This window comes from Homo sapiens, chromosome 2 (assembly GCF_000001405.40).
Source record: "Homo sapiens chromosome 2, GRCh38.p14 Primary Assembly".
Taxonomy (NCBI): Eukaryota; Metazoa; Chordata; class Mammalia; order Primates; family Hominidae; genus Homo; species Homo sapiens.
In genome coordinates, this window is record NC_000002.12 from 39,140,786 (window position 1) to 39,151,292 (window position 10,507).

Below are 10,507 nucleotides of genomic sequence, written 5' to 3' on the forward strand. Positions count from 1 at the left end.
AAGTGCTTTGTAAATTGCAAAGTGATAAACAGAAATGGGTCAGACACATAATCTTAACACTACAAAGAAACAGGTTTTTTTGGCCAGGCACCATGGCTCACGCCTGTAATCCCAGCACTTTGGGAGGCCAAGGCGGGTGGATCACTTGAGGTCAGGAGTTCGAGACCAGCCCGGCCAATATAGTGAAACCTCGTCTCTACTAAAAATACAAAAAAAAAAAAATTAGCCAGGCGTGGTGGCGCATGCCTGTAGTCCCTGCTCCCTGGGAGGCTGAGGCAGGAGAATGGCTTGAACCTGGGAGGCGGAGGTTGCAGTGAGCTGAGATCGCACCACTGCATTCCAGCCTGGGTGACAGAGCAAGACTCCGTCTCAAACAAAAAATGAAACAGGTTTTTCTATTTATAAAACAGTGAGTTCACATCCCAGTTTTAAATATTCTAGATCCTTAAATGATTTCTCTTTACAGTTTATTTATGACTGAATTTTTTCAAACTGGCAATTTTCTTTTTTCCCCCATAATTTACTTGACTTCCCCTTCTGGATGTATTAAAAGTGTTGTAATGTCATTATGCAAATAAAGTGTATTTTGCATGCTTTTTCCAAGGGCAAATTTTAACTTCTTGTCATGTTTCCATTTTATCTGCAATATTCAGGCGACATAGTCTGCTGCTCTGGTGGCTCATGCATTTGTGTTTTGCATATTTCATACAAGAAAATAGAGAAAAAAGAGAAGTCAGCCAGATGGGATTCTCTTTCCAGGCAGAGAAGAACTAGAAAAATTTGCATGGCCACGACCTCTTCTATAGACAAAGGATGCTTGTTTTCAGGACTGGCAATTGGTCAGAGGGTGACAACCCATCCCCAAATTCCTGAGGCAGCCCTAGGTTTACAATCTGAGGTTCTGGAATAGTTCCCAAGATGCAATTATTTCCAAATTTAATCAAACCTCAGAAAATAGCTAATTAAAAATAATCATATAAAACAGCAGGCCCTTTCTCCAAAATTAAACACACACTTTCTTATATCGGCTGTTTAGCCAAGTCTTACAAAGACCCGGCCACCTGTTTGGGGTGGGGGGAGGTGTTAGACTTCCTAAGAGGTGACTGTTCTTGGCAGCCACCTCTACCCAGGCCGTCCTGGAATCTGTCATTGTCAGCTTCTGCCAAGAAATGTTTTTGTACTTGCTGGATAAAGACAGGCAAGGAATTTTTTGACCTCTGTTCGAATCCCAAATCCCTTTTCCATACTCTTATTTGTATTCTTTAAATGACATAATTACAGTAATGCTCCTAAAACAGTGGATGGCACTGAAAATGAATGGGATCCTCCCTCTTTCATCTATCTTTCTAGCTCCCTGCAGCCCTGGCTGACCTATTTCTCCAGGCTCTGCCCTACTACCCAGAAAGTTGGGTGTGGTTCCGAGAAGGTTTGGTTGGGGATTTACATTTCAGTTTGCGTTGATGATTTAATCAATTGCTTGTGTCTTTTTCAGCAGAAAACCAAGCAGAATCTTTTTGTCACCAAATTTGTATTTACCAAAATTAATATCTCATTGAGTAGACTACCATAGAGTATGTAAGGGGAGTATTTTTCTAAAATCAGAAAATTGTCAAGAATACATAGACCATAAAGGAGATGCTTGGGAAAGCAATACTTGGGAGTTGAGGAGATTAAAGCCCTTTTCCTGATTAATGTTAACTTATATTAACAGCTAAAACAAGGCCGGGTTCGGTGGCTCATGCCTGGAATACCAGCACTTTGGGAGGCCAAGGCAGGCGGATCACTTGAGATCAGAAGTTCAATACCAGCCTGGCCAACATGGTGAAACCCCATTTCTACTAAAAATACAAAAATGAGCCAGGCATGGTGGCACACACCTGTAATCCCAGCTATTCAGGAGACTGAGGCAGGAGAATCGCTTGAAACCAGGAGGCGGAGGCTGCAGTGAGCTGAGATTGCACCACTGCACTCCAGCCTCGGTGACAGAGCAAGACTCTGTCTCAAAAAAAGAAAAAAAAGAAGAAAGCTAAAACAAAACAAAAAAAGCCCCAAGAAATAATGGCAAAATATTTTAAGTTCGTCTTGAGAGTTGTGGATTTTTCATGTTGGTTCGACTGACCAGTGAAGAAATGAGCTCTGGCTACTCAGAAAAACCTAAAGTCTTGAAGCAGAATTGCATTCTATCATTTTATTTTACAATAGCTCTTACTTCTAACTAAAAAAAATTTTTACTTTGGTTTTGTTTTTTGCATCATACTGTTTTGTTTGTTTGCTTTTAATTGGCATATCCTTTATATAGACTGCACAGATACTAGGTGTACAGTTCCATGAGTTTGGACAACTGTATACACCACCAATGGTAACCACCACCCCAATAAATATATAGAACATTTTCATCACTCTCAAGGGACACCCTCCTTATGCCCCTTTCCAATCAACCTTACTTGCCCCAGCCTAAATACAACCACTCTTCTGATGTCTATCACTGTAAGTTAGTGTCAAAAGACAAAATTACAACAAATTTAAATAATCTAATTGGCTTCTATTTGTGATTTGTGAACCACGGGAAGATCTTCTCTAAAAATTCAGAAAAGGCTCCAATGAGCTGAGCAGAGGAAGTTGGCTTTATGGGCAGAAAAGGGCTGAAGAAAGCAGAAATAGGGAACAAAAAGCAGATTGATCGCCTTAAAGTTTCTTTCCTTATAGGGTTAAAACTGAGGAGACTTTCTTACATACTAGGCTAAAACTGGCCTGTTTAGGGATTTGGCTATTCTCTCTCTCTCTCCTGATTTCTTGGAAGATCGGATAAACAATTTCATTTGGTGACATGAAACTTTAGCAGGAATGACTGCATTTTGATTTGCTCTATTGGGGCCTAGTGCAGGAGCTCAGTCTAAACCAATCGCCTCCTATAAGTTGTATTTAACAATAAATATACCTATTTCAGACTTATAAATGGAATCATGACTCTTTTTGTGCCTGGATTCTTTCACTCAACATCATTTATCTGACATAGCAAATCTTTCATGTATGTGGTTGATTATATTCACAGTTTGTTCCTTTTTCTGCTTTTAAAAAAATAGTGGTAAAATATACATAAAATTTACCATTTAACCATCTTAAGTGTGCAATTCAGTGGCATTAAATGAATTCAGTGTTGTGCAACCATCACCATTATCCATTTCCAGAACTTTTTCATCATCCCAGACTGATACTCTGTATGCATTCAACAAAAACTTCTTACCTCCCTTCCCCCAGCCCCTGTTAACCACTATTATACTTTCTGTCTCTAATAATTTGACTGTTCTAGGTACCTCATATAACTGGAATAATATAATAGTTGTCCTTTTGTGTCTGACTTCTTGCACTTAGCATGATGTTTTCAAAGTTTATCCCTGTTTTAGTATGCGTCAGGATTTCCTTCCTTTTTAAAGCTGAATAATATTCCTAATATGCATGTATCATGTTTTGTTTATTCATTCATCTGTTGATGGACATTTGGTTACTTTCCACCTTTTGGATATTGTGAATAATGCTAATATGAACATTAATATATAAGTATCTGTTTGAATTTATGCTTTCAAAACCTTTGGATATGTATCTAAAAGTGGAATTGCTAGATTGTATGGTAATTCTATGTTTAACTTTTTGAGAAGCTACCAAAGTTTTCCACAGCACCACTTTACATTCCCACCAGTAATGCATGATAATTCCATTCTCTCCACATCATAGCCAACACTTGTTATTTTCCATTTTTTTATAATAGCCATCCTAATGTATGTGTGAAGAGGCATTTCATTGTGCTTTTGATTTTCATTTCCCTAATGACTAATGATGTTGAGCAACTTACCACACTTGTATTTGTTATGTAGCCCTCAAGCTTTCCCTGACATTTCTCTTATCCCCCTGCAAGAGGGATTTGAATTACTGTGTGATTATCCATTTATTATTTTATTTTATTATTTTTTTTTCAAGAGGGAGTCTCGCTCTGTCGCTTAGGCTGGAGTGCAGTGGCGCGATCTCGGCTCACTGCAAGCTCCGCCTCCCGGGTTCACGCCATTCTCCCGCCTCAGCCTCCTGAGTAGCTGGGACCACAGGCGCCCGCCACCACGCCCGGCTAATTTTGTTTTTGTATTTTTAGTAGAGACGGGGTTTCGCCGTGTTAGCCAGGATGGTCTCGATCTCCTGATCTCATGATCCGCCCGTTTCGGACTCCCAAAGTGCCGGGATGACAGGCGTGAGGCACCTCGCCTGGCCTATTTATTTATTTTTAAGATGGAATTTCGCTCTTTTTGCCCAGGCTGGAGTGCAGTGGCGCGATCTCGGCTTACTTCAAGCTCCGCCTCCCGGGTTCACGCCATTCTCCTGCCTCAGCCTCCTGAGTAGCTGGGATTACAGGCACGTGCCACCACGCCTGGGATCTCGAACTCCTGGCCTCAAGTGATCCGCCCACCTCAGCCTCCCAAAGTGCTAGGATTACAGGTGTGAGCCACCATGCCCAGCCAGATGTTTTTTTTTACTCCGATATAATAACTTTAGCTTGATCACTCTTTTCCTTGGCTCTTCCATCACAGCTGTATGAAAGCTCTTTAATTTCTCCCTATAAAATCAATACCAAGTCATATTTTTTTTTTTTTTTTTTTTTGAGACAGAGTCTTGCTCTGTTGCCCAGGCTGGAGGGCAGTGGAGAGATCTCAGCTCACTTCAAGCTCCGCCTCCTGGGTTCACGCCATTCTCCTGCCTCAGCCTCCTAAGTAGCTGGGACTACAGGCGCCTGCCACCATGCCTGGCTAATTTTTTGTATTTTTGGTAGAGACGGGGTTTCACTATGTTGGCCAGGCTGGTCTCGAACTCCTGACCTCAGGCGATCCACTCACCTCGGCCTCCGAAAGTGCTGGGATTACAGACGTGAGCCACCGTGCCCGGCCGCAAAAATCTGTCATTCGAACCATTCCTTGCAAGCACTCTGCACTAAAATTCCAAATGGATAAAAATATTTAATATTTTAATATATTCTAAATAAAATCAAAGGGTAATACTATCAGAAATGGGTAATGATATCACTTTCCTTTCTAGATGGAGAAATCACCTCCTGAGACAACCCCCAGGGCTGTTTTTCTGCTCTCTGCTAACATTGGACCCATTTACATAATCTGCTAAGAGTTCTCTGCCAGAAGCCAAGCCTTATAACATCTGTCAGATGCTAAACAATCCTACCAAGAAGTAATGCCATGGTATATTAGTGGTCCTGCATAAGAAATCACCCAAAACTCGGCAGCTTGAAACAATAGACATATACTATTTCAGTTTCTACGGGTTAGGAATGCAGAGCAGCTTAGCTGGGCAGGATCCCTTATGAGGTTGCAGCCAAGATGTCAACTGAGGCTGTGGTCACCAGTAGGCTTGACTGGGGCTGGAAGATCCCGTTACAAGATGGCTCATTCCCATGGCTGGCAAGTTGGTGTTCAGTTGGCAGGAGCCTCTGTTCCTTGCCTCAAGGACCTTCCTATTAGGCTACTTAAGTGTCCTCATGACATGGCAGCTAGCTTCCCCTAGAGCAAATGATCCAAGAGAGCAAGGCAAAGGCCTCCATCTCTTGTAGGACCTTGCCTCAGAAGTGACATCCATCATTTCTTCCATATCCTATTAGTTAAACAAGTCATCCCCATTCAATGTGGGAGGAGATGACACGAAGACATGAGCACTAGGAGATGAGAATAATTAGGGTCATCTTTGAGTATCTGGATACCACCCCAGTCCTGTGCTTTCCCCACACTTTTAAAAGGTCTAAGGCTATTATTGGATTCTCAAGAGTATAAAAAGGACCCTGGAAATATACTTATTTTAGCCAAAACAGACTTTTTAAGTGAAATGTGCAGTTCTTCCCATAAAATGCCATGATGGGAAAATTTTCTTTCAGAGACTATTTCACTATTTAAACTCAATCATCTTCAAGAAAGGTTCAGGTGGGAGTGGTGGCTCATGCCTGTAATCCCAGGACTTTGGGAAGCCAGGGTGGGAGGATTGCTTGAGCCCAGGAGTTCAAGACCAGCCTGGACAACATAGCAAGATCCCATCTCTAACAAATAAAACAAAGAAGAAAGCTGAGGTTTCTCCTCCTTTTACATGGAGTTGCTGTCCTGCTTTCCCCCAGTCCCACTGCCAGCCCACTGACTCCACCTGATTGGTTGTAGCATGTTGGTCAACATAAGCAAGTCAGGTCCCCACAGAGTGAGGTGACTGTCATCCTACATGGGACATACGCCCAGTGCCAGCAATTGAACATCTTCCTGAGGGAGGAGACCGGGACCCTGGTGAGTATTCCCAAGGCAAACTCTCCATAGATAGTAAAGGGGACCCATGCCGCAGGCACTATGAGCTGTTTGTAGAGGAGATGGAATAGAACACACTGCAGAGGCTCCTGAAGCTGTAAAGAGCCAGGCTTAATTCCTTTCCAGTCCCTCCCATGGATCTGTGACTGATCTCCTATCATTCCTGACCTTCTGAAAGCAGATTCCCACTGGGCACCATGGCTCATGCCTATAATCCCAGCATTTTGGGAGACTGAGGCCAGGAGTTCAAGATCAGCATAGGCAACATAGTGAAAACCTGTCTCTACAAAAAAAAAAAAAAAAAAAAAATTTAATTAGCTGGGTGTGGTGGCACGCTCCTGTAGTCCTAGCTACTCGGGAGGCTGAGGCGAGAGGATTGCTTACAGCTAGGAGTTCAAGGTTGCAGTGAGCCATGATCATTCCACTGCACTCCACCCTGGGTGACAGAACGAGATCCTGTCTCAAAAACAAACAAACAAACAAACAAACAAACAAACCCACAGCAATAAAGTTTTAAAGAGGATTCTAAATTCAGTAGAGATTCTGGGCATTGGGGTTGAGAGGTGAGAATCAGTTATGCCCTTTCATGACTGTGGTTTCTGAATCAATTATGAACTGAACCCAGGTGTCTGAGATATGACATAATTTTTTTTTTTTATTTTTACTACTATAAACCTCATATTAGGGAATGTAGCTTGCCATAATCAGAATTAGGTTTGCTACTGTTTCGCAGTCAGAGTTCAACTTCCCCATCCGGAACAATAGTGAGCCTCCCTTTCATAGCCACAGAGTCTCTCCCAAAAGGAGGGTGGGTCAGCCCTGCTGAGGATAAGCTGATCCTAGAAGGAGAAGGTGCCCGGCCACACATCATTATGGGACAGCTAGGTGTGATAATATCTCCCAGTTTATGAACTAAACACTGTTGATGGGTTTAAAAAAAGCGTAAGTGTATTATTTAAAGGTATAAAGTTATTCAACAGATAAACTAAATAATACTATTAATGCTATATCTTTTCTTTTTGTTTTGAGATGGAGTCTTCACTCTTGTCACCCAGGCTGGAGTGCAATGGCATGATATCGGCTCACTGCAACCTCTGCCTCTCAGGTTCAAGTGATTCTCCTGCCTCAGTCTCCCGAGTAGCTGGGATCACAGGTGCACACCACCACACCTGGCTAATTTTTGTATTTTTAGTAGAGATGGGATTTCATCATGTTGGCCAAGCTTGTGTCAAACTTCTGACCTCAAGTGGGCCTCCCAAAGTGCTGGGATTACCGGTGTGAGCCACCACGCCCAGCCTATAATGCTGTATCTATTTGGAAGGGAAGGAAGGTAGGAATGAGAGGTATCAAAAATCAAAATCCTCGGCCAGGCGCGGTGGTTCACGCCTGTAATCCTAGCACTCTGGGAGGCCAAGGCGGGCGGATCACGAGGTCAGGAAATCGAGATCATCCTGGCTAACACGGTAAAACCCCGTCTCTACTAAAAATACAAAACATTAGCTGGGCACTGTGGCAGGCGCCTGTAGTCCCAGCTACTCAGGAGGCTGAGGCAGGAGAATGGCGTGAACTCGGGAAGCGGAGGTTGCAGTGAGCTGAGATTGCACCACTGCCCTCCAGCCTGGGCGACAGAGCGAGACTCCGTCTCAAAAAAAAAAAAAAAAGGATTTAGTTTAAAATCAGTACTTTAATTTTTATTTATTTATTTATTTATTTTGAGATGTACTCTTGCTCTGTTGCCCAAGCTGGAGTGCAATGGCGAGATCTCAGATCACTGCAACCTCTGCCTCCCAGGTTCAAGTGATTCTCGTGTCTCAGCCTCCCGAGTAGCTGGGACTACAGGCGCCCGCCACCACACCACCACACCTGGGTAATTTTTTTTTTTTTTTTTTGAGATGGAGTCTCGCACTGTCTCTCAGGCTGGAGAGCAGTGGCGCGATCTCGGCTCACTGCAACCTCCGCCTCCAGGTTCAAGCGATTCTCCTGCCTCAGCCTCCCAAGTATCTGGGATTACAGGTGCCCGCCACCATGCCCAGCTAATTTTTTGTAATTTTAGTAGAGACAGGGTTTCACTATGTTGGCCAGGCTGGTCTTGAATGCCTGACTTCGTGATCCAATTGCCTCGGCCTCCCAAAGTGCTGGGATTACAGGGGTGAGCCACCGTGCCTGGCCACATCTCGGTAATTTTTTTGTATTTTTAATGGAGACGGGGTTTCACCATGTTGGCCAGGCTGGTCTCGAACTCCTAACCTCAAGTGATCCACCTGCCTCAGCCTCCCAAATTGCTGGCAATACAGGCATGAGCCACCACGCCTGGCCAGTACTTTAATATTTGATAATGCCAATGGTGAATATTAACCTTTATTACTACTTCATGAGTACAATTAACAAAGGCATGAACACTATTAACCACGGTTGTTAAAGCATCGTGGTATCTTTTTCCAAAGGTAGGCCTCAATGCAGCATGCCTCCTGTTATTCAGGCGTCTGTATGGTCACCTGCCACGCTGTCCTTGGTACTCACTTGACCTAGTAGGAAATTACAGAAGTGATACTCTGCTGACCCTGGGCCTAGGCTTTTTTTTTTTGAGACAGGGTCTCACCCTGTCACCCAGGCTGGAGTGCAATGGCGCAATCTCAGCTCACTGCAACCTCCACCTCCCAGGTTCAAGCAATTCTTCTGCCTCAGCCTCTGGAGTAGCTGGGATTACAGGCGCCACACCACCATGCCTGGCTAATTTTTTGTATCTTTAGTAGAGACGGGTTTCCACCATGTTGGCCAGGCTGGTCTCGAGTTCCTGCCCTCGTCATCAGCCTGCCTCAGCCTCCCAAAGTGCTGGGATTACAGGCGTGAGTCACCGCACCTGGCCGGGCCTAGGCTTTAAGGCCTGGTAGCTCCTGCATTTGCACGTTTTGGTGCTCTGAGCAAACATGTAACAAGTCCTGCTACCCTGCTAGAGGGACTACATGGAGAGACCACAGGAGAGAGAAGAGCCCTGAGATTATCGGGGGTAGAGAGAGAGGCCTGGGTGCCTCAGCGCCCCAGCTGAGCCCAGGCTCCTACCAGACACATGAGGGAAGCCATCTTGATGTTTCAGCCCCACCACTAAGCTCCTACCAGACACATGAGGGAAGCCATCTTGATGTTTCAGCCCCACCATTATCTGACGGCAGCAGCACGTGAGGCCGCAAAGGAGACCAACAGAAATAATCATCCCGCTGAGCTCCAGCTAACCCACAGAATTGTGAGAGATAATAAAATGGCTGTTGCTTTCAGGCACTGCATTTTGGGGTGGTTTGTTAAGCAGCCAAAGATAACTGAAACAGCCATGTTTAATCTTCTTCTGTCAGGTCACCCACTTCCTGCTCAAGTTCCAGAATATCAATCCCCAAATTCCAAGAACTGGAGAGTGAGGAGGTGGAGAGGAGAGAGAGGAGGATGAAGAGGAGAGAGAAGACAGCAAGACGTGTGGTTATGACATGGGTTGAAGCGGGAGCCGAAGGACCCCCTTTGGTCAGGGAATCAAAGGTCTTTTATACTCATGAATGTCAAAACTGAAATTTGAAGTTTTTTTGTGCCACTGCTATAAATACCCTGCCTCTTCTTTCATATTTTCTTCCTTTTTTTTTTTTTTTTTTTTTTTTTAGTAAAGACTACTACTCACAAAATGCTTTATTTGGATAGAGTTATTATGAAAATAAAGAAGCTGAATTCATGGCTGGATACTTCCTAGGGAAAATTCAGAACTCCAAGGAGAAGACCCGTTCACTTGCTCCTTCCAGGCAGGTGACCTAGACTTGAACTTGGCCCATTAATTTGCCTTGGAAAATGAACTGTGACCAGATGTGACACACACCACTCCTGAACAGAACATTTTAAGGGTATTTCAAGTTTCCTGTGCCCTCTGCCATGAGAAGGGCATATTTCCCATATGAGCTGCTCCTTTGGCCTGGGTCCCTGAATGAGAAGACACTCGAAATCGATTCTCAATGCAGCCTGGAGCAGAGCTGCAGCAGCCAAACACAGCCTCTGACCTGTAACATGAGCAGGAGTAAATATTTGTCGTTGTAAACTACAAGATTTGAGGTTGTGAAGCAGCGTAATCTAGCAAAAGCCAACTATGAAGTCCAAACTCTAAAAGCTTCCAGGCTGGGTGTGGTGGCTCACACCTGTAATTC

At 44.0% G+C, this 10,507-nt stretch overlaps 5 annotated features.

Moving 5' to 3' along the window:
* Positions 1,091-1,543: a transcriptional cis regulatory region, noted in NCBI's record as "candidate enhancer chr2.1553 targeted for multiplex CRISPR interference". NCBI's record gives its function as "positively regulates SRSF7 gene expression with high confidence in K562 cells {active_cell/tissue: K562}" and the evidence as "EXISTENCE:mutant phenotype evidence [ECO:0000015][PMID:30612741]".
* Positions 1,287-1,471: a silencer, noted in NCBI's record as "fragment chr2:39369213-39369397 (GRCh37/hg19 assembly coordinates)". NCBI's record gives its function as "represses an EF-1alpha promoter that drives an FKBP-Casp9 reporter gene in an ReSE screen in K562 erythroleukemia cells {active_cell/tissue: K562}" and the evidence as "EXISTENCE:reporter gene assay evidence [ECO:0000049][PMID:32094911]".
* Positions 8,863-9,364: an enhancer, noted in NCBI's record as "H3K27ac hESC enhancer chr2:39376789-39377290 (GRCh37/hg19 assembly coordinates)". NCBI's record gives its function as "activates a minimal SCP1, AML or CMV promoter by ChIP-STARR-seq in primed H9 embryonic stem cells {active_cell/tissue: H9 hESC(primed)}" and the evidence as "EXISTENCE:reporter gene assay evidence [ECO:0000049][PMID:30033119]".
* Positions 9,326-9,711: a transcriptional cis regulatory region, noted in NCBI's record as "candidate enhancer chr2.1554 targeted for multiplex CRISPR interference". NCBI's record gives its function as "positively regulates expression of the SOS1 gene with high confidence and the SRSF7 gene with lower confidence in K562 cells {active_cell/tissue: K562}" and the evidence as "EXISTENCE:mutant phenotype evidence [ECO:0000015][PMID:30612741]".
* Positions 10,090-10,258: a silencer, noted in NCBI's record as "fragment chr2:39378016-39378184 (GRCh37/hg19 assembly coordinates)". NCBI's record gives its function as "represses an EF-1alpha promoter that drives an FKBP-Casp9 reporter gene in an ReSE screen in HepG2 liver carcinoma cells {active_cell/tissue: HepG2}" and the evidence as "EXISTENCE:reporter gene assay evidence [ECO:0000049][PMID:32094911]".